Here is a 24,092-nt window from a genome sequence, read left to right on the forward strand (position 1 = left end):
TGGAGCTCATTTCTAGTTTTATTTCACTGTGACCTGAGAAGATACTTTATATAATTTTGACTTTTTAAAATTTATTGAGATTTGTTTTTGTGGCCTATCCTATGGTCTGTCTTGGAGGCTGTTCTATGTGTTGATGAGAAGAATGTGAATTCTGTGGTTTTTGGGTACAATGTTCTGTAAACGTCTGTTAGGTCCATTTCTTCTGGACTGCAACTTAAGTCCAGTGTTTTTTTGTTTTTGTTGTTGTTGACTTCCTGCTTCAGTGATCTGTCTAGTGCTGTCAGTGGAGTGTTAGAGTTCCTCACTATTATTGTGTTGCTGTCTATTCCTTTTCTTAGGTCTAGTAGTAATTGTTTTATAAATGTAGGAGCTCCAGTGTTATGTGCATACTTATGTAGAATTATTATATTTTGTTGAATTAATTATTTAATTATTATGTAATGACTTTCTTTGGTTTTTTTTTTTACTATTGTTGCTTTAAAGTCTACTTTATCTGATATAACTATACCTGCTTGCTTTTGGTTTCCATTTGCATTGAATATCTTTCTCCACCCCCTTACCTTGAGTCTATGAGAATCTTTGTATGTTAGGTTCTGATGCAGCTCAACATTTTGTTTCAAGATTTAGCATTTCTTGTAGGACTGGTCTGATAGGGACAGATTCCCTCAGCATTTGCTTGTCTGAGGAAGACATTATTTCTCTTTCATTTATGAGACTCAGTTTTGCTGGATACAAAATTTTTGACTAATAGTTATTTTGTCTAAGGATATTAAAGATAAGCCTAAAGATACAGTGAACTTCTGGCCTGTAAGATTTCTGCTGAGAAGTCTGCTGTTAGTCTAATAGGTTTTCCTTTATAGGTTACTTGTTGCTTTTGTCTCACTGTTCTTAGAATTCATTTCTTCATGTTGACTTTAGATAGCTTGATTACTATATGGCTTTGTAATGTCAGTTTTGCAGTGAACCTCCCCAGAGCTCATTGAGTTTCTTGTATTTGGACATCTAAATATCTAGCAAGGCTAGCAAAGTTTTCTTCAATTATGCCCTCAAATAAGTATTCAAAAAGTTTTGCTGTTTCTTCTCCCTTAGGAACAGCAATTGCTATATTTGGCCATTTTACATAGTCACCTATTTCTAAGAGACTTTGCTTATTTCTTTGAATTCTTTTTCTGGCATTTCAAAGATTTCATCTTGGTTGGGATCCATTGCTGGGGACTTAGTGTGTTCTTTTTGAGGTGTTATAGAACCCTATTTTGTCCTATTGCCGGAATTATTTTTCTGGTTTCTTCTCATTTGGATAGAGTATATCTTCTAATTACTTTTGAGACTATATCTTCTAATTATTTTTGAATTTATTTTTTGATTTGACTGTGATTTTTCACTTTTTTTTTTCACTTTGAGGATGTGACTTTAATGTTTATAGTTTATTGTAACCTAATTCAGCTCTGGGTGCTTTCAGGGGTGAAGACTGTATAAGTTCCCTGGTTATTTAAAATGTTTGTATGTTGGCTTTCTCAGATGCTAGTTGTGGTAACATTATGCTCAGTGTGTGTGTGGAGGTTCACTGTTTCCTGTGGGGTAGCAATGGCAGAGGTCTCATGAAGCTTATCTAGTTCCCAAGTGGTGTGCACTTTTTTGCCTTTTTTTTTCTCCCAGTGTTTTCTTTACCTGGTTGAATAATTCAGATTTCAGGCCAGTAGGGGAGGTGTCCCTGAGTGAAAACCAGCAGATTGGTAAATGCAATACCCAATGGTGGGAAGAAGCCCAAGCCTTGACCAAGGCATCTGTGGGAGCTCTTAGTGAAATGCACTGAGGTCTTTTCACGGGGAAGGGAGGGAGCCACTTCAGCTCCCTTGCCAGGCCCCCAGGAAAGCAGGTCACACTCCTAAATACAGTTCTAGCTATTCAGATTAGCAGGCCCTTTTTATTTGCAGGAATTCTCATGTTCCAAGTAGAGAGAGATTGTGATTCTATGCCTTATGCAAATCTGAATCTGGAGGGGACTCCTCCTCTGGGGACGCAGTTAACTTGAAGTGTTCCAGAAAGGCTATCTACAGGTCCACTCATGCTAAATTCCCATAAGAGAAGCACCAGCTGTGTCTGCAGTGGTGAATGAGGGGGGAAATCTTTTTCTTCAAGACCGTTCTGTAGATTTTCCCAAGTCCAGCACTGTACCTGTGCCTCTACTGAAAGAAACTTTCCACAGGTGGGAAGTTCTGGACTCAAGTCCTGCCATCTAGATTCTTTTTTCCATGGGGTGTGCCACTGATGTGCACTCCCCCTTATCCTAAGAGTAGGAGTCCCTGAGGGCCAGACTAGTATGAATGCTGCTACTTCTCTGGCTCTAGCCACCTAGTGGGACTGCCACACTCCAGGTTGGTGCTGGGGAATGTCTACAAGGGGTCCAGTGATGTGACCTGTTCTCAAGACTCTGTAGTGAGTAGCAACAACAGCTCTCATGGGGGTGACAGGAGAATGACATAGACTCTGTGAGATTTCTTGATTATAAGTAGTCTTGGTGCATTGGTTTTTCTGTAATGCCACCTGTAGTAGTGATGAACTGGTCGCATGGACAGACTCAGGACCTCCTAGTAAGCCAAGGTTATATAGGCAAAGGTGACAGCTTAGGTCACACACAAGTTTTCTCTTTCCTGTGCACTGTTAGTGTGCCTGCAGATGCTGTAATGGATTGTGTCAGTAGGCCTCCAGCCACAAGGTGGCACTTGAAAAAGAGCACCAGCTGGTAGCAGTGGGATTTGTGCTTGCCTTATGTTACGCAGGGGAGGTAAGCTGATGACTCAGGCAATGGGCAGGGCCATTGAGCTCTCAAAATTTTCTATTCTTTGTGTTAAGCTACCAGGGCAGATGGAGGGGCAAAGCCAGCTGGGGGCTGAATCAGGCAAGTTCACATTCTAGCTCTCTTTTGTCTGCCATGTGTGGGCAAAAGCACTGTCCCCAGTGGGGATCAGATAGTGGTCCTCTGGCTGTAGGAGTAATGTTGCAGGGAGTACCACAGCTGCCTCTGCTGCAGAGAAGCATCTGTATGAGGAATAGGGAGCAGCAGGCAGCAGTTAGCCCCACTCAGCTCCCACACACTTGGCAAAGCAGGTCTTGCACCTGCAGTGTCCCACTCGCAGCAGCTTGGTTCCAAGCAGTCAACACTCAGAACTCAACACTGCCCAAGGGCATAAGACTTCCCAGAAGAGACTGCAACCATGGCTTCCAGGTCACGCCTCTCCTAGTTGGCCCATGAAGCAGGGGCACCCAGCTCTTGCACCTATGGCTGCAGCACATTTCCCATCTGCCCCATGGTTCTGACCAAGGGGGTTTGTCTCCACTCGAGATTATATCACGAATCTCAGTTGAGAGCTTCTCTCAACCTGTGACCACTGCCTGAGTTACCTGGCTGACTTCTGTGAGGTCCCCTGTGAGATAGGATCAGGGATGGCTTTCCTCTGTCCTGCTGGGCATGCACACTAAGCCCGTCCCCATGCTGCTACTTCTCATATATGCCCCACTGCTCACTAAATCAGCTCCAGCGCTGGGTGGGATTAAGGCCTTTCCCTGTGGCCTGGATTGCTTGGTTCCCCAGTAGGAGTATATGTCCTAGAGGCAGTTTATCCCTATCTGACATTCTAGGGACTTAAAGTTTTCCTCCTGGCTCATGATTTTAGACAGCAACCTGACACTTCTTTCAAAAAGTCTGTGCTTTCTTTCAGTTTTCCTGTTAATTTTCTGTGTTGCTTCTTGGAAAAAATTTACAGTGTGAATCTCCACACACAATTCTGTCTTTCCAAATAGGAGAGGCATGCTAACAATGACTCTAATCTGCCATTTTGAGAAAAAAAAATACTGGAGGTCTTTATTTTTTTTTAATACTATAGCCCATTCTGAGTTTTCATTACAACCTCCACTCTAGTATTGTATCTACTTTTCACAAACCCTTATCTTTGGTAGCTGGATTTAATTCATTAATTTTAAAATTTTGATAAAAATTATGACATAATTATATTATTATGTATTTTCATTTGATTATCTAGGTTTATGAAACTGACTAAACTAATAATTATTTGATAATATGATTATATTCTGCCAATTCATTCTACGTGTTCCTTGGATATGTTAATAAACAATAGAAACAAGTCCAACTAAAAGACATCACTTATTCTGACTCTTGTTTTGAAAAATAAAACCTGACAAATCAAATAAAAGTAAATGAGTTATTATTCAGACATCCACTTATGGTTTGGGTATATATTTTGACAGTCCATGAGAAAAATTCCTCCAAGGGTCTTCACCTCCAGACATAAAATCACTTTGTTGCTTTTCTAAAAGCTATTTTTAAAAACACCAACATCTTTTTAAATTCTCCCATCTATAAGTTGGCAAAAATATCTGTTGAGGTTTGTAAGCAACATTAACATTTTAAATAATAAATGTAATATTTAGGGACAATTTAATTTAGTGACTCAAGGCATCTAATATTTGGTATCAGTATACGAATATTAAGAAACATTTAGCCCTTTTATTTATAGTATTTTTTATAGTAAAACAATTTCTACTTTCTATTATGCTTCTTGTTCTGTGATAGTTTACTATTTCTGAAACTTTATTTTTTACAAAATTTCAAGTTGAGTCTAAAAAAATTATATTTTGTTGTTTTGAAAAATACGTAGCCTAAAACTGTACATGCTAACAGTTGAGTTTTATCAGTGTTATTTTTACTAAACCTAATCACTATAAAATAGCTATATCTTGTGTATGTTAAAAATGTGAAATAAGATGAGAATGTATTTGCTATTCTATTAATTAAATTATATGAATTAGTAGCAACTATTAAGATGCTTTGAATATTCCCTTAGGTGGATGAGAACATGTGAGCAAGTACTAGCACAGTGGTAGATGCTTTGTAAATTGCTCTTACTTTCCTAATGATTGACAGGCTAATAGCTAAATAACTAAGATAATATAAGCACTTTCTTAGAATTTAGAGATCCACTTAAAAGACAGGTTTTCATTAGGAATTTCTGTACTTTATTTCACATTTCCATAAAAAAATTCCTCATTGCAAGAACCACTGCACCTATTATATGAAAAAACTCAAGAGAAAACAATCAGGTGACCATTACCTCTAAAACACCTGATTTGATTCAGTTATCCTATAGGAATCAAGTATCAGGCTTTACAAGATCCTCTTTTTTCAATGTTGTTTTACTGCCTAAAACAATGTTTAAGATGACTAATTCACGTTTCTTTTTGTGACTTATTTTTACTTGATCTAATTTCTAAAGTGATCTTTATGAGGTGTCTTGCCTAAAAATTTGCCTATACTTATAAATGCATTTTCACTTACTACAATCTCATTTTTTACTGTACTGTAGATGTACAGTTAGTTGAATGCATACATAATACTTTTGAGAATATATGAGGTTTTACATAAGAAGAATCATATTGAAGTGGTTATCTAGCATATCTAAAGAGGAAACAACAGAGAAGCAAGCTGGAAACAATATGTAGACATCAGTAATTATTTTAATTTCACAAGACAAACATTTATCAATCCTGTATTCAAAACCTACATATATGCTACTTAGGATGCAGAAATAGCTATGTACATTCATTGCCACCAAGGCATTTATGATCCAATTGAAGGGCAAATACAAACACAATGAAGTTTCTTTGTGTAGCAATTACACAAATAAAACTTCATAAGCTTGCCAAGAAAAGCAAGAACGAAGAAAGGAAAGAAAGAAGGAAGAAAAACAAATGGCAAAACAGAGCAATATTTAAATGTGGTTATGATTCAGCCAACCATTACATTTAATGATAATGTGCCTGTTTGGGAAATAAAATAGAAGAATTAACTGAATGCCAAGGGGAGGGGGAAGGAACAAATGAAAAAATCAAAACAAAATAAAACTGTGAAAGATAATTAATGGGAATAGAAAAAATTATGTACAAAAAGCATTTTATTTGGAGAGTAATTTAGATCTTTAGGAATATATTGGCTATATTCAAGTTCCTATACTTAAGTGCTATACAATAATAATTAAAGGTACCAGATTTAGTAAAGGGATTTTGCACCATGAATTTTTTTTTCCTGTAAAGATACAAATATATCTCCTTAGTAGAACAGATAACCTCACAGATTTATGACACTGTTATATATCAATCTATATTTATTTATTTAACCAAGCAATCTTAATGTTATTTTGCTAAATTGCTTCTAAATGTCCCAGTTTCTCAGATTCCCTTTGTGTCATTTAAAACATCTATTTGTTATTTATTAATTCAAGTTAATATCTTTAAAACCTATTCATTTTATATTTGTCTGAAAGCTATGATTTTAAGCTTCTAAAAATTATATTTTAATAGAAATCAGGGACTAGTTACCTTTAATCTGGGGGAGATACTACATATTTTAAAGCCTGAAGTCAATGTCTAGACAAAAGTTTCTGCTTAACATCAAAGGGTATGCAACATTTGCTGTGGCTCTCAAATATTAAGAAAGGAAAACACAACTGGGAATTTGTCACTAGCACTTTATTCTTTACTCAGGATTGAAGTAGAATTTTTTGACGCCAATATTTTTCAGAAACTTTAAACATTAGAAATAAAATAAAAACTAGCCCAATTCCAATATTCCCCATGGATTTCCTAGCAGAAGAAATGTGAAACTCTTATGGAGAAATAATCCAATATTGCAAACACAAGGATTTGCCACTACAGAAACTAACAAGTTAAATTGAAAACTATATTAAAAATAAATTCACAAACAAAAATTACAAAATACACAATGAAAAATGATATACATGCCAGGCGCGGTGGCTCACGCCCGTAATCCCAACAATTTCAGAGGCTGAGGCGGGTGGATCACCTGAGGTCAGGAGTTCAGGACCAGCCAGGCCAACATGGCAAAACCCCGTCTCTACTAAAAATACAAAAAATTAGCCAGGCATGGTGGCAGGCGCCTATAATCCCAGATATTTGGGAGGCTGAAATAGGAGAATTGCTTGAACCTGGGAGGCGGAAGTTGCAGCAAGCTGATATTGCACCATTGCAACCCAGCTTGGGCAACAAAGTGAGACTCTGTCTCAAAAAAAAAAAACAAAAAACCAGCAATAAGAGTCAGCAGATGTAAAACAGCAGAATTAAAAGTATGTGTAAAAATAGATGAATAATTTGAAAAAAATTATAAAATTAATAATATGTAATGAACATACATAAACACTAAAGACATTTAAAAAGAAATGAAGAGCAGATTTGGCAAAGGATATCCAAAAATAAAAATATAGTAATTGAATTTAAAAACCTATGAGATATGGATGATTAAAATTAATATAATAAATATATATCACAGAGAAATAAAGTTATCAATATAGAGCAAGATGGACAAAAATTATTATTATATTAGATACTTTGGGTGCATTTAAGATGGTATTGAGGCAATATCTAGAGGTAATAACTGGAAATTTTCTATAAGTCATTAAAGAAAAAAAATTTTCACATTCAGGAATTGGACAAGTTCTGAACAGAATTGATAAAAATAAATCCAAACTAGAAAGAACACTGATTTGGTGAATATTTTAAAAAGAAGCTAGTTCACTGAAAAACTAATACAATAATGCAATGGCATACCAAGTTCCAAATGCAAAATATACAGTGCAAGATAGAATACTATACACAGTGCTGAGACTTTTTGGGTCTACAAAATTTTAAGAAAGCGCACTCATGGATTCATTGAACAACCCTTTTTAAAGTAACAAAGAAAGAAAAAAGAAAACACTAAAAAAGACAAGTGTGAGAAGCAAGTGGCAACTGTAAACCTGTTAAATGTAAGGGTAAATCTAAATAAGCATTAATTATTTGAAAATGTGAGGCCAGGAGTCCAGTCCAACCTGGGTAACAAAGTGAGGCATGAGTTACAATTAAAATACTAGAAAAGTATTGACCATTTCAATTAAATGTTCCTTTCAAATCACTAATTATTTTCATGTTCCAAAATTTAAAGGTTAATTTTTTATTCTCATTTTATTGATCTATCAGTAGTCTCTTTTTCTTTAATTAAAAAACAAACAAACAAAAACACATAAACAAACAAACAAAAAAACCCAGCTTTTTTTCTTTGGCTTCCAGAACACGTCCTCTTGGCTTTCTTCTTATGTCTTTGTATGCTATTTCTTAGTCTTTGGAACACTTCTGTGTCCACCCCCACTCCCTTGATGAGTTCTCACAGAGCCATGGTTTACAATATTGTTTATGCTAAGAACTTGCAAATTTGTACCTCTACCTCTTACTTCTCTTCTAAATGCCAGGCTCTTACATCCAACTTCTTATGCTGTCTTCTTTTGAGAAGCTAATAAACATCTCAACTTTGAAATGCACATTCTCACCTACGACCATTTGTCTCAAAGCAAAAATCTTAGAGTCAATCCTACTTATTTTCTTTGTCAAGAATTGCACATCCCACCTTTCAGCGAGTCTTTCTGCTTGCTCTACATTCAGAATCTATCCAAAGTTAGTCACTCTCTTAGTCTCTCCCAGAAACAGATCCCAGTAAAAACATTCAATCAGAAGTAATTTGGGATGTAGAGAAAAACTATATTCTTTTTCTTCCCTCAGCCTTTTGATGTGTTTATTTCAATGCTATTTTTACAATGTTACTTACTGAATACATTAATTAAAATTGTAATCTGCCACTATTACTGTGTATCCTGCCTTACTTTATTTTCTTCACAAAATATATAACTTTTCAACACCTGTCTATATTTTATTTCTTTTGTGTCATCCTACATCTCACTGTAATCTTTACAAAGGCAAGGATTTTTTTCTTTAATATCCTAAATGTAGATGTTTGTCTCTAGTAGATTCAATGGTGCCTCCCAAAATATGATAAATATGCACATATCTTTCCATATGCTAGCCCACAGAAACTGTAGATGTGACCTAATTTTTTTGTATATATTAATAAGGATCTTGAGATGACGTCATACTGGATGATCCTAGTGCACCCTAAATCCAATAAGTGTTCTTATGAAAGACAGAAGAGGAGAAGATACAGGAAATAGAAGAAGGCTACTTGAGGATGGAAGCAGAGATTGGAGTTATGCAGCTACAAACCAAAGAATGCCTTGAGCCACCAGCAGCTGAAAGAGGTAAAGTAGGATCCACCCATAAACACTTGAGAAGGAAAGTGGGCCTATCTATACCTTTATTTCAGATTTCTGCCCTACAGAACTGTAAGAGAATATATTTCTTTTGCTTTAAACATTTAGGTTTGTGGTAATTTGTCATAACAGATCCAGCAAACTCATATACTGGCACTGAGCAGATATTCAATAAGAATTGATTATGAATTATAGTCATTATGATAGTGCGGCATTGACTCAGAGATGAACAATTTGTTCACTGGACTATAGCAGGAAATTCAAAAATTCATGGTAGACTTTCGATATTTTACATATGAATTGTCGTATCACCCAGAAAAATGAATAACTATTCATAAAATAGCAGTGATACATTTGATTAACATATAGAAAAATTGTAAATTGTATTCTATCATCACATTAACTTCAAATGTGAAAGACATCTTGTATCACTTTTAAAGAAAATATAAAATATATTTTATTTAGTAAAATTGAATTTGTAGAACGATGACTTTTTTTTTACTTTACTGCTTAATACTTGAGAAATTCTCCTCTTTGATGAGGCTATTAGAAAACAGGAACTCTAACAATTATATAGTGGGAAGATAAATTCATACAACGACTTTGGAAAGCTACTTGACAATGTAAGGATGAAAGTGCCCAAAGTTGTAAAATTTCCCTGCTCTATGTGTATCCTATGAAAATTCTAATATATATAAACAACAAAACAATAAGTATTTATTGTAGCTTTGTTTTTAACATTTACAATGGTAAATATAAAAATGCCAATATTTCCTGATATGAAAATTGATAGCTTTATATTATATATATAATGAAATCCCATATAGAAATTAAACAAAAACAGATACCCAAGTATCAGCTGGAATGGTTCTCAAAAATATCATAGTGAGATTATAAAGCATGTGTTGAAATAATACAGAGAAAACAATAACATCTTATTTAAATTTGAAGATACAAACACTACCATATACGGTATAAAATATTCTATACACAGACCTGTACTTAAAAATAGAGAAATATACAAGGGGATGCTAAACAATTTTAGCCTGTAGTTATCCCTTGTAGAATTTCTTATAATCTTGTTTCTGGTTATGTTGCTGTATCAATTATTTTTCAGTTTTGGGTATGTGTGAAATATTTCATAAAAGGAAGTTGGACGTTTTAATAATACATTGACTTTAAGAGGAGGAAGAATAGGTGATTGGGGTATTTTGTTATATACCAACACATGACTGAAATAATCATCTATTCTAATTCTGTTCAGTTCAGTGGAAAGTCTTTGAAGCTTTTTTAACAGAGTTGCACTTTGTCATATCTTTGAGAACATTGTGTTAGATTAAGTGGAACAGGAATGCTTAGAGGGAAGGAGATTAAAATAATGTGTTGTATGGATATTTGAGGTGACATACAATAGAACTGGAAAATAAAGAAACTTCATGAAAAATAGTATAAAAAGAGACATAAATGACTTACCAATTGACTGCTGTGTTTGATAGATGGGAATTGTAGTCGTAACATTGGATGAAATAGGAAAGACAGACTAGTAGAGCTCTTTGGAGGCAAATTCTATAAGTTCTTTTTACATTTTGAGTGAAAGTTTTCACTTTTAAATGAAATGCATATGGATAAAAAATAAAGGTAAATATAGTTATTATGAAATTGTCAAGATAAAATGAGAGTTGATGCATAAAAATGAATAGACTGGAAAAAGGGAACTTTTTAAATATAAAAAAAATTGCCTCTTTTCTGACAGTATTCTTTCTTCTTAAACTTCATGATTGTTCCTGGAAATTAAAGTGAAAAAAAACTATCATAAAACTATGACTCTATCATACTGTAACACTTCAGGGCCCATATTATTATACCTCCTCTGTCCATCTCGCATGACTGTTTAAAATGGTTCTGTTTGATACACTGACACTCAATTTCTTTTTATATGGAATGTAATTTGGGAGATTCTCTAAACAATCTGTATAATGGCAGACATGGAGTACAACTGAAATTAGAAATATTCTGTTGTAGTTTCCATTCTTTCTTAAAGGTTTTAACATTTTGTTATGAACATGACAAGCCTTATTTTTTTTTCCACACATAGAAGGAACACGAATTATAAATAGAACAAAACACTGTGAAATACTGCAAATGTGGAATAATTATTTGATCTCATGCACACACCTCGGTAATTTAAATTAAATTCTATAAGTAAATGACTAAATATTTTAAAATTAACTACTTTAAATTAAGATGTATTTAGAAATAATTTTAATGTTATTGAAATTTTTTTAAAAAAACTATTGTAATATAAGAAATCATGACATAATGCAAATACTACATATTTTCAGAAAATTTGGTAATAAATATCATCTCCCAAAAAACCATCTTAGTCATTGCATAAAATTCTACAAATGATATCTGATTTTAATTTAGAGGAAAGTACATGAACTGAAAGTCCCGACTGAATAAATGCTTAAAAAAGGATGATTTAAAAAAATTTAAAGGTAACATTTATTAATTAAAATAATTCTGATAGAAAATCCTAACAATGTACATTATTGTCTAGATTTATAATTCCGTAAATTAAATATACATCCCCCTGCAAGTGGCAATACTTCAAAAATTAATTCTAGTTTACAATTTAGTATAAAATAATGTATTAGAAGTGTCCCTGAAAGATGGAGTTTAATGGAGAAAAATGAGGAATATTATGAGTATCAGGACATGGAGAAGAGTAAAAAGTCAATATTGTGGGACAAATTAAATGACATTAAAAAATCACCTTTTTTCATTTGATATAATGTAATGGTTATAAAATATCTCCTCAGAGTTCTTCAACTGTCATTTCATTGAGATGTGGGGACTGGGGTCTCTGACCTTGAATCTGGGAGGACTTTTAACTTCTTTGACTAAGAGAATACAAAAAAAATCAATGCTGTGTAACTTTTGAGACCTGGCCTAAATCGACAATCTGACTTCTGCTCACTTTTTTTCAGACTCCTCCATCTCAGGAGGGCCCCAGTATTGCCAGGCTGGGAGAAACCCAAACCATGAGGATAGACCACGAATAGGAGTTCTGGTTGACAATCCCAGTTCATTCCTAGCTTCAAATACACAAGGCCAAGTGCCAGATATGGGCATAAAAAGCAATTTTGGAAGTGGACACTCCAGTCCAAGCTGTCCTAGCCCTCAGCTATTTGAGTTGCATCCAGACATGTAAATCTTCCCAGCTGAGGCCTCATCATTGAGGTGCAGAAAAGGGGCATGCCCACTGTGCCTGTTTCTAAATTCCTGACCCACAGAACCTGTGAGCATAATACAAGTTTACTATTTTATACCAGTAAGTTTGGGGTATAGTATTATGCAACAATACAACCTGATGCACAAAAAATCTCTTCTTTGTTACATAAACTCTATATAAACTGGCATATGCTTAGTTCTTAAACCTCTCTCCAATCTCCTTCTCTTTCCCCATACTCAAACTAATCTTTTTTTTTCTGCTCCTTCAACAAACCAGCACTTGTATTTACACATTAGATAAATTGCACCATTAACTTAAAAAACACAATTTCCAAGATTTTTACAAAACTGTGTCTTATAGTTTAAAGTATCTCAGCCTTTAAGTATCACTTGTTAGATAACATTTAGTTGCCAATCTTTATAATTGCTTTCTCTTACTCTACTCCTTAGCTTACAGTCCTTTCTGCCATATTTATCGTATTTGTATAACAGATCAAAATCTGTGGTTATCTATTTATTTACCTAATTTTCAGCTCTCTCCACTTATTATCATATAAGTTACAAACATTTCAGGTCATATCTTCAGTTTACCACACTATACCAGTAGCTTAAATATCACATTACCCATACTAGCCACTCAAAAATATTTATTATGGAATTAATGGAACTCTAAATTTAATCTGGTCTCCAAACTAAATATATGGCTTAAGTATCAATATAGGTTTCAGGTAGATAGGGTTTAGCTATAAGGAATACAGGGTGCAACTAAAAGCAGTTTTCACAGGCAAGATGTTTACTTACTTCTACAAAAGAAAGTACAAGCCAGGACAGGATAAGAAGAGCAGCCTCACAGGGACGCTGAAGATTTGTTATACACATGCAGGGACATTAATAGCATTTCCTTAGAAAGAGGTATGATATAAGATAGCTTGATGCCTGTAGCACCCTGAGACATGATTGCTCATATTGCAGCCAAGAAAAATAGGAAAGGCTGAAGCAGCAAAGGGCAAAGGGGCAAAAGGCCAAAGCCATGCAGGCCAAGTTTGTGCTTTTTTAAAGGCTTTCTTAGGAACCTATCTTATGATATCCATTTCAATGTCACAAAATTCACATGGCCACACCAAGAAACATGGATATTTTACTTTCCAAATAAAAAACTAGGCAAGAGAAGTTTACATTTGCATAGCCTATCAATAGTGTCTGCCAAGATATTTCCATTTTTTAGTGTATCAGAAAATTGGGCACACATGACTAACGTACTTTTTTCATTTTAAATAGAAACAAATGTGTGTGCATATATATATATAAAATATACATATTTATATGTGTGTAAATATATGTGCATGTGTGTGTGTGTGTGTATGTAAAACCAATCAACTTCTGCTGAAAAACTTCTGTAAAACTCATTTTTTTTTTCCAGTATGTTTCCTCTGAAGACAATCTTCACATCTAGGGAATATTAATGGTAATAATAACAGCATTGATTTATTGAGAGTTTTCCTATGTAACAATTACTATACAAGTATGCCATTTAATCTATTTCTCTAGTTTCAATATTAATATTGGTACTTAATAAACGAGTAAACTGAAAATAATAAGTTTAAAATCTTTTTTCACAGCTAGTCAGCAATACAACTGGGATTTGATATCAGATTCATACGATTCCGAAGACCCTGACCACCAAATGCAAAAGGTACATGGCAACAGCTGATTGCAATGAGAGAAAAACAACTAATAAGGCAACAAGCAGGATACTAAGATATTTTCCAAAATGAATAGCACTGATTCTGTGAGGAATGAACATTGCCAAACAAGTGTTTTGTTTTGTTTTTCAACTCCTCTAAAAAAATTCACATATATGCATGCCACTTTCCTGAAAAATATCTGCCTCATAATTGCCATAAGAAACGGTATGGACAACTCTTAAACATTCTGAAAGTAGTCAGGGATGGGGGAAAGCATTTGCTGTTTTAGTCTGTTCCTGGTCTTATAACAAATACCACAAACTGGGTAATTTATGATTACAGAAATGTATTTCTGAAAGTTCAGGAGTTGGGAAGTTCAAGATTATGGCACCAACATATTCATTGTCTGATGAGGGCCTGTTTCACAGATGTCATTTTGCATGACTTAATCACATGGTAGGAAAAGCAAAGGGACAAAATGGACAAATGCCATGTTGTCACATGGCAGAAGAAATGGAAGAGCCAGGAAGCTCTCAGAAGCTTCCTTAATTAGGATATTAATCTCATTCATGAGTGCATAGCCATCATGACTTAATTGCCTCCAAAGGCCCCACTTCCTCATCACTTTGAGGATTAAACTTAAACATGAATTTGGAGGAAATATATCCAAACTCTAGGACTAGTTTAAATGTAGCTAAAAAGGTTTCTTCATTCTGTAATCGTTAATATGCTAATATTTTTGTAAATATCCAAGAGGAAGCTAAAGCATATAATATTCCAAAATTTATTTCTGTTTGTGGATATTATGTTTTCCTCTCATTCTATCTTAAGAAATTAGTGTCCTCAAGAAACACTATATAGGATAATTGTCTTTCAAGTTCATCAACTACCAGTTCTTGATTCTTCAGTAGCTAATCCTAGATAGTAATACTTAACAGATTATAAAAACTTGGGTGCTGCTATATAAATGCGCTGAAACTCCCAGGGAACCAAACATAAGGACTTAAAGAGAGATGTAACTAGGGATCATAATCATGAATTTCAGCTGCTTCTCTATCTTTGTCAGTGAGCAAATGACCATACAAAATAAGGTATTCAATTATTAATTCTGTGCCCATATCCCGGAATTTTGCCCAATATATTTGTAAGTTTAGATAAATAAGGCACTAATGCCAGGGATATGTAGCATTAGTTCTGGGTTTATAAAGGGATATTCACAACCTCTTGCCATCCACAGAATTTATCAGCCCAAAGTAAACTATACTCGTTGGTTAAGGGCAACCTGAGACATGTTTAAAACTGAGGTGGACTGAAGAGTCAACTAATTGCAGGAATCTTTTATTTGGTTGAAATGTTCAAACAAGTCCCACTCTGAATTCTATTAGAAGTCCATCATTGGCTTCTCTCTCTTTCTCACTGTCTTAAATCATGTATTTTATAACACTATGAAGAATGAAGTTCAAAAGAATAAGCTAAATTTAATTAATTAAATTATTTATTTATTTATTTTGAGACAGAGTCTCACTCTGTCACCCAGGCCAGAGTTCAGTTGCACGATCTTGGCTCAGTGCATCCTTCACCTCCTGGGCTCAAGAGATCCTCCTGAAGCAGGGCATTTCCCTGACCCCTTCATGGGACTCGTGACAGGGGTGCCCCATTTACTCAGCCCACTGCTCTCAACTCCTCAAGGGAGGGAGTGCGCAATTGAACAAGGCAGGAACTGGAGTACACGAGTGCTGGAACCAGTGGCCTCTTTGGTGCCAGAAGGAGTGAACTCACCCACTCTGACCTGCTGTGTTCCACCTCTTGCAGGAGAGAGCATGCAGGTGAGCAGGTACAGGAGCCAGGAAGAGAGCTTTGGGGTGTTGGCAGGAGCAAACTCCATGTGGGCCCCATAGCAGCCCCTGGGGTTAGGGGGGTGCCTGTGATTCCTGAAGCCCCAGTGGGCATATTACAGTGCTCCTTTAGCTCTGCCGTCTTCAGACAGCTGAAGTGTTAGCAGCTCAGCATGCCTTTTTGTATCCACACTCACTCCTGAGCTCTTGTTTGGCATCCAGGAAAAAATCAGCTCACAGAAACGAATTGAAGGATGGTAAATGCAGAGGATTTTATTGCCAAGGAAAGTGGCTCTCAGCAGGAAGGGCAGCTGGGAAGGAGATGTAGCAGGAAGGTTTCTGGCTGGACTCTTCTCCAAAGTTGCACTGTCAAGCTGTCTCTCTGAAATCAAGCTGCTTCTCTCCAACGTCCAACCGTAGTCTCTGATGCCCAGCTGCTGCTTCTCTTTTGATGTTCAGCTGCTTCTCTTTTTTGCTAGCTGAGTCTGGGGTTTTTATGGGCACAGGATGGGGGACAGGGGAGGTCATGGGTAATTTTGTAAAAGGCAACATTTGAGTGGGAAAACAGGAATGTATGTTCTCACTTTGGGCTTTGGTTCCAGGCTTGAGGGTGGAGCCGTTGCCAGGGACCTGCCCTCTTTTGCCCAGAATTTCCCTGCCTCCCTTCCCTTTCACTCCCACCCCATCACTCCCACCTCAACATCCTGAGTAGCTGGGATTATAGGCGCACACCACCGCATCTGATTAATATTTAAATTTTTTGTAGAGACAGGGTTTTGTCATGTTGCCCAGGCCGGTCTCAAACCCTGGGCTCAAGTGATTTGCCCACCTCAGCCTCCCAAAGTTCTGGGATTACAGGTGTGAGCCAGTGTGCCTGGCCCTAAATAATATTTATATGGGCATTTTGTAATTATTATTTTTTAATAATATAAATGTTTCCTTTTTAATATGAATTTTTCAAGAGTTTTATAATTGACTGATTATTCATTAAAATTTAATGAAGGACAGGAATTGGCTATTTTTCTGAATGACAAAAATTAGGAAATTTTTAGAGAGATGATGAATTTATCCTAGAATATATGGAAAGAGTAAATCTTGTTATATAGAACAAGCAACTTTCCAATCCGAAGGATCTTAGAATAATAAAAATTTTTTTTCTTATAATTGTTTTCTTATAATTGTTTCAAAGTAATACTTTAGACCAAAAATTGTATATCTCAGTAGGTGGCCTATATGATAATTAAAAAATTAAAAGCTAAGTTAATTAAATTTTTAATTAATTTAATTTTTATTAATTTTAATTATCAATCTTCATTGAAGAATTTTGTCCAAAAAATGTGGACAATATGTGTCATAAGGATTAATCACCATAAAATAGTCCCCAAAGGAAATTAAAGGACTGATTAGATAGTACTAAAATAACAATCATACAAAGTAGAAAGTGGTGTTATAAGAGAAATGTAGATAAAATATTGTAAGAAACTAAAGTAGGAAGATAATGTTTTGAGTTGTGGGAGATCAGGGAAGGTTTTTTGGAAAAAGTAACGTTTAAGCTAGATCTTAGAGAGACATGACTTAATAGAAAAGTAGGCAAAAAAATATGAATAACCCTTTCAGATTACAGGCAATACAAATTATGATAAATATAAAAAAATTCTTACTTCACTAGTAATCAAGTAATTGAATTAAACAATTGGATACCATTTTTTCTTCAGCAGACTGGCAAAACATAAGATGTTAACAAGGGTTTTGAGGGTACAGGGAAGAGGGTAGGCTCAAACTATGCTGGTATCAATGTATAACCAAGATCTCCTTTGGAGTACAATTGTTATATAGTCTACATTCTGTAAAAACTAAACACATATGTTTGCCTTTCCACTTTTGGAAATACATGGTAGATAATCATGCAAGAATGTCAATTGCAGTATTGTGTTGTAATTTTTAAAAATACTCTAGATATTCATCAATATATAACTACAAATAAAAATAGTTGGACTATCATGCAGACTACAATGCCTCTATTGTGGCATAATAGTTAATAATACAATCTCTGAGAGCAGAATATCTGGATTTGAATAATTTGCTCTCCCTCTAAATGACCTTGAGCAAAGTACTTACAATCTTTTTCTCTCTTCCATAAAATGGAGATAACAGCATTGCCAATTTATTAGCTTGTCATGATGATTAAATGAGATAATCCATATATCACACCAAGTACCCACTACGTAATAAGCAACTAATTAAATTTGACTAATATTAATAATTTCATTATTATTCATCTTAATATCATGGCATGACTTCTAAGGTATATTATTAAATAGAAAAAGATAAGTTTTAAACTGAGCCATAGTTTAGAACTTGACTTAAAGCAGACTCACAAAGCAAATGCTCATATCTAGGACAGGTAAATCTACACGTGTTTATACACACATTCACTGTATTTGGGGAAAATACACACCAAACTGGAAACACTGGTTGTCTCTGAAGAAGAGACAGGGCTTTGGCAATATTCAAATTAGGCTTTAACTGTTTCTGAAAGTTTCAGTTCTCTATAAGGAGAAGGTATTACTTATGTAATTTTTAAAAATTACATATTAAGTACTAAATGACTGAAGCTTCTTAGAATTGATGGGTGCAGGCATCACATGGGCAGCAAGGCATTCACATAATGGAGAATCATGGTCTCCTGTAGATGTCTAGGAGTGATAAAATTAACTACCTTTTAGGTGGTGTAGTTTCCTGGTTGAGCTGATAATTATTAAGTTAATGATTAGTAGGTTATTTCTCAACACCGAAGAGATTATTAGTGTTTCAAAGTTTTCACTGTAATTCATCTGTAAAACCATTCAACCTACCTCCAGTACACCTCAGTAATCTGGTGACAAGAGAGTATTCTTGCTCACTTTATTTACTCTTCAGTGATCTAATGCCAATAATGCCAGCCTATAGAAACAACAGCCAATTATAACAAAAAGCACATTAGAAAGTCAAATATAGCTGGGTAATAGACATAAAAATACCTTATTAACATTTTTATAACACTCTGAACTGAAATAAACAGACCACTCTCGATTTTAGCATCTGGTTCCAAACAATTCTTGTTTGGGTGATAACTTTTTAAAAACAAATGTTGGGCATCTTTCATCGACTTTTCATCAAGTAACAGCTGTTCCTTTAGAGCAAAATGTATGCATGTTGGAAGTGTGACTGATGCTCACTTCTGTTTTGTTCTGTGTGAGAAAGCTTTATGTTGGGTGCAATTCAGAAAACAAATGGTTTCAAATCTTTTGAATAGATGCCATAGCACAGTTTAAATGCAGCTTCTTGTGATTTTTAGAATAATTTCAGCCACAATTTTTACATTCAATTTATAACTATACTAAGACATTCTCCTTCAGAACAAAGGCATTTCTGTTTTCATGTGCTCTTGGGCATCTTCGGGTCATTCATTATATCAATCATTTATCTTCGTAAAGCGTTTGGCTATGAACAATTACTTACTACACCAAAGCATGAAAGAAATAGATATAGCTCATCTGCTCTTGAATGCATTTCTACAGATTCCCTTAGGATAATTCCTGTTTCAACTTAAGCTATTAAATTTTTTGCTGCATTCAAATCACCTCATCTGCTGAAACATGTGGAGACAAATAACCACAGACGTTTGCATGAAGGTTCAGGTGTATTTAAGGGCAGCTTAATTATAAGACACTATGAAATTCTCCTAATTAATTTGGAGCTAAATATTCTACATCAAATATTTTACAAAACTTAAAGAAATATTTACTTTTCACATGATTACGATTTTGATACTAGGTTAAAAATGACTTATACTGGCATTTTTTAAACAGTTTAAGACAAATAATGTTTTTGATACTGTTTATTATAACATATGAAAAGTCTTTATGCAGATATACTCTATTTTATCGTCTGTTCATTTCATGTTGCATTTGCATGCACTCCTGAATTACTTGTTACTAAAACATACAGAACAGACAGAAAGTTAAAATTGGTTAATTTCTATCTAATCTGGATAAGATAAACACAATGAGTGAAATAAATAATTATGTCAAATAACAAAAACCTCATGCATAGAAACTTCAACATTTCTGAATAACAAAAAGTATAACATTATGTAGGGCAATGTTCCACTTTTGTATCAACTAGAAATAAGCCCTGAATCTGAATGATGAAATTTTAATAGTAACTGTTGACCACAGGGCAGAGTTTACTCTCTTGGTCAGATGCTTTTGTGAATGACACAAACTGTGTGTCCAGATCACTTTTCCCTATAATCACTTCAAATTACTTGACTTTTTGATCTCTTCCTTTTTTCTGTCTCTTTTTTGTCCACAACAGATATTCCAAATATCCACCGAGTTTTCAAATACTCCAGTCCATATTTGGTCTTCCCATTCCTAGCAGAAGTACTTTGTCTTCTACTTCCCAGAATAATGTTAATTCTCTTATTTTAGACTTGCTTGCTTTAATTTGTATTTATTCTTGGCTTTTTTTCTTTCCATCTCACAGGATAAGAGGGCATCTCTTCTTCCATATTCATAAATACGTTGCCAACAGGAATTTGTTGTTATTTACACTTTCTTCTCCTAGACATTTTAATTTTACTTACCTTCCCTGAGCACATGGCAAAGTCAAAACACAAGCAGAATCTTACTTATGAATAGAGGCAGATTTATTAAGCCAGGGGTAGGCAAACTATAGCCAATGAGCCAAAGCCAGGCTGCCACGGGTTTTTATAAATAAAATTTTATAGGAACTCAGCCACAGACATTCCTTTACATATTGCCTACAGCTGCTTAAGCACTACAAAGGCAAAGTTGCATATTTACAACACAAATAATATGGCCTGCAAGCCTAAAGTATCTACTATCGTGCCCTTTATAGAAAATGTTTATCAGCTTTTGTTCTCTTATCCTAAGTTATGAGGCTTACATTTCCGGCCACCTCATTTGCATTTGAGTTTCCAGTTTTGAGTTTGTAGTTTTGCATTCTTGCTTAAAGAGCCCCAAACCCTGACCGCCAAATTGAATGTGCTGTAGATCCCACAAAATATGGATCCAATCAAGCTGATGCCATGTCATTATCTGTAGCTTTTATTCTTTGCCATCACACACCTTCCTTGAACAGTTAGGCTTCTGCAAAAAATCTTAAATAATCACTGATATGGGTTGGTTCTGTGTCTTCACCCAAATCTCATCTTGTAGCTCCCATAATTTCCACGTGTTATGGGAAGGATCCAGTGGGAGATGTCTGAATCATGAGGGCACGTATGTCCCATGCTGTTCCCATGATAGTGAATGGATCTCACGAGATCTGATGGTGTTAAAAATGGGAGTTTCTCCACACAATCTCTTTTTTGCCTGCTGCCATCCATGTAAGATGTAGCTTACTCCTTGCCTTCCACCACGATTATGATGCCTCTCCAGCCATGTGGAACTGTAAGTCCAACAAACCACTTTCTTTCGTAAATTGCCCAGTTGCAGGTATGTTTTTATCAGCAGCATGAAAATGAACTAATACAGTAAATTGTTACCAGTAGAGTGGGGTGCTGGTGGAAACATATCCAAAAATATGGAAACGACATTGGAACTGTGTAACAAGCAGAGGTTGGAACAGTTTGGAGGACTCAGAAGAAGACAGGAAAATGTGGCCAAGTTTGGAACTTCCTAGAGACTTGCTGAATGGCTTTGAACAAAATGCTGACAGTGATATGGACAATGAAATCCAGGCTGAAGTGGTCTCAGCTGGTGATAAGGAACTTGTTGGGAACCGGAGTAAAGGTGAATCTTGCTACATTTTAGCAAAGACACTGGTGGCATTTTGCCTGGCCCTATAGATTTGTAGAACTTTGAACTTGAGAGAGATGATTTAGGGTATCTGGCAGAAGAAATTTCTAAGCAGGAAAGCACTTAAAATGTGAATTCGGTGCTGTTGAGGGCGTTCAGTTTTATAAGGGAAGCAGAGCATAAAAATTTGGAAAATTTGCAGCCTGACAATGCAATAGAAAAGAAAATCCCATTTTCTGAGGAGAAATCCAAGCCAGCTATGGACATTTGCATAAGATAATGGGGAAAATGTCTCCAGGACATGTCAAAGGTCTTTACCTCAGCCTCTCCCATCACAGGCACAGAGACCTAGGAGGAAGAAGTGGTTTTGTGGGCTGGGCCCAGGGTTCCTTTGCTGTGTGCAGCCTAGGGACTTCATCCCCTGCATCACAGCAACTCTAGCTATGGCTGAAAGGGGACAACATAGAGCTCAGGCTATGGCTTCAGAGGGTGCAAGCCCCAAGCTTTGGCATCTCCCATGTGGTGTTGAGCCTACAAGTGCACAGAAGTCAAGAATTGAGGTTTGGGAACCTCTGCCTAGATTTCAGAAGATGTATGGAAACGCCTGAATGCCGAGGCAGGAGTTTGCCACATAGGTGGGGTCCTCATGGAGAACCTCTGCTAGGGCAGTGCAGAAGGAAAATGTGGGGAGGGAGCCCCCACACAGAATCCCTACTGGGGCACCACCTAGTGGAGCTGTGAGAAGAGGGCCACCGTCTTCCAGACCCCAGAAGTGTAGATCCACTGACAGCTTGCACTGTGTGCGTGGAAAAGCTGCAGACACTTAACACCAGCCCATGAAGGCAGCCAGGAGGGAGACTGTACCCTGCAGAGCCAGAGGGGTGGAACTGCCCAAGACCATGGGTATCCACCTCTTGCCTCAGCGTGACCTAGATGTGAGACATGGAGTCAAAGGAGCTTTAGATTTGACTGCCCTTCTGGATTTCAGAATTGCATGGGGCTTGTAGCCTCTTTGTTTTGGCCAATTTCTCCCATTTGCAATGGCTGCGTTTACCCAATCCCTGTACCCCTATAACCCCATTGTATCTAGGAAGTAACTAACTTGATTTTGATTTTGCAGGGTCATAGGTGGAAGGGACTTGCCTTGTCTCAGATGAAACTTTGGACTGTGGACTTTTGAGTTAATGCTAAAAAGAGTTGACATTTTGGGGGACTGTTGGGAAGGCATGACTGGTTTTGAAACATGCAGATATGAGATTTGGGAGGGGCTGGAGTGAAATGATATGGTTTGGCTCTGTGTCCCCATCCAAATCTCATCTTCTAGCTCCCATAATTTCTGTATGTAGTGGGAGGGACCTGATGGGAGAAGACTGAATCATGGGGGCAGGTCTTTCCCATGCTGTTCTCATAATAGTGAATGGGTCTCACAAGATCTAGTGGTGTTAAAAACAGGATTTTCTCTGCACAAGCTCTTTTTTTGCCTGCTGCCACCCACATAAGATGTGTCTTGCTCCTTTTTGCCATGATTGTGAGTCCTCCCCAGCCATGTGGAACTGTATGTCCAATAAACCTTTTTCTTTTGTAAGTTGTCCAGTCGTGGGTATGTCTTTATCAGCAGTGTTAAAATGGACTAATACAATCACTCTATCAAATGAGATAATATTTATTCCTTTACCACTGACAACTCTCTCTCGGCTCTTCTATTCAATCATGTTACTGATAGACGCTTTGCTTTTTGTTTTTGTTGTTTAACCTGATTGTTATAGCTTATTTTATGAATTTCTGTTCTTCTTTTAATTTTACAACAATTTTACTATTTCTCCTTACATGTTTATAAGTCATATGGAGACTCCTTCTCATCTACCCTGACCCCAGAATATTAAAACTTTTCAGAGTTTCAGGATTAATTCCATTATATGGACATGATTCCTTGAGATAGGAAAAACTGATTGGATTGTGACATTAGACTTATCAGAATCTAAGATCTTACAAAATATAAAGCTTTACTAGTAATTTCACGAACTCAGGTAATCATTAGGCATAGGCAAATCAGAGAATTATTTAGATCTCTTAATCTGATTCTTTAGATCCTTGGTTCTGTCATTAGATACTCCCTTGCCCAGGCAGATAGATGAGACTTCTAGAGAGGTATGCAGACAATTTATTTACATGGAGATACCTGTCTCAATTATCAAATATCTTAATTTTTATGCAGATAGTTACATATGTGGTATATGTGACATTTTCCAGGGAGCCCCATAAATCCACAACCTTCTACTTTGTTAACCATAAGCAATTCTAAACGACCAAGTACATTCTGCTAAAAGCATTTCTGTGATAGATAATCACTCTCCTGCCAGCAAA

At 35.8% G+C, this 24,092-nt stretch overlaps 2 long non-coding RNA genes across 12 annotated transcripts in view; one reads left to right on the forward strand and one right to left on the reverse strand.

Annotated features, from left to right (window-relative positions):
* The window catches only part of LOC105376050 (uncharacterized), a 108,520-nt gene that overhangs the window by 46,612 nt on the left and 37,816 nt on the right, over positions 1 to 24,092 (forward strand). For 6 of the 11 annotated variants that reach the window (XR_001746434.2, XR_001746435.2, XR_001746436.2 and 3 more), the window contains 2 exons: positions 8,973 to 9,155; positions 14,021 to 23,313. This is a non-coding gene — a long non-coding RNA (uncharacterized LOC105376050). Of the gene's footprint in view, positions 1 to 8,972; positions 9,156 to 14,020; positions 23,314 to 24,092 lie in introns of those variants that run through there. The other 5 variants (XR_929617.4, XR_929618.4, XR_007061494.1 and 2 more) reach the window with 3 other exon arrangements.
* LOC124902158 (uncharacterized) lies at positions 1,383 to 18,864 on the reverse strand. Its single transcript, XR_007061495.1, has 2 exons — positions 18,777 to 18,864; positions 1,383 to 10,951 (listed from the first exon to the last, which is right to left on the reverse strand). It is a non-coding gene; the product is annotated as an uncharacterized LOC124902158 (long non-coding RNA).

This window comes from Homo sapiens, chromosome 9 (assembly GCF_000001405.40).
Source record: "Homo sapiens chromosome 9, GRCh38.p14 Primary Assembly".
Classification (NCBI taxonomy): Eukaryota; Metazoa; Chordata; class Mammalia; order Primates; family Hominidae; genus Homo; species Homo sapiens.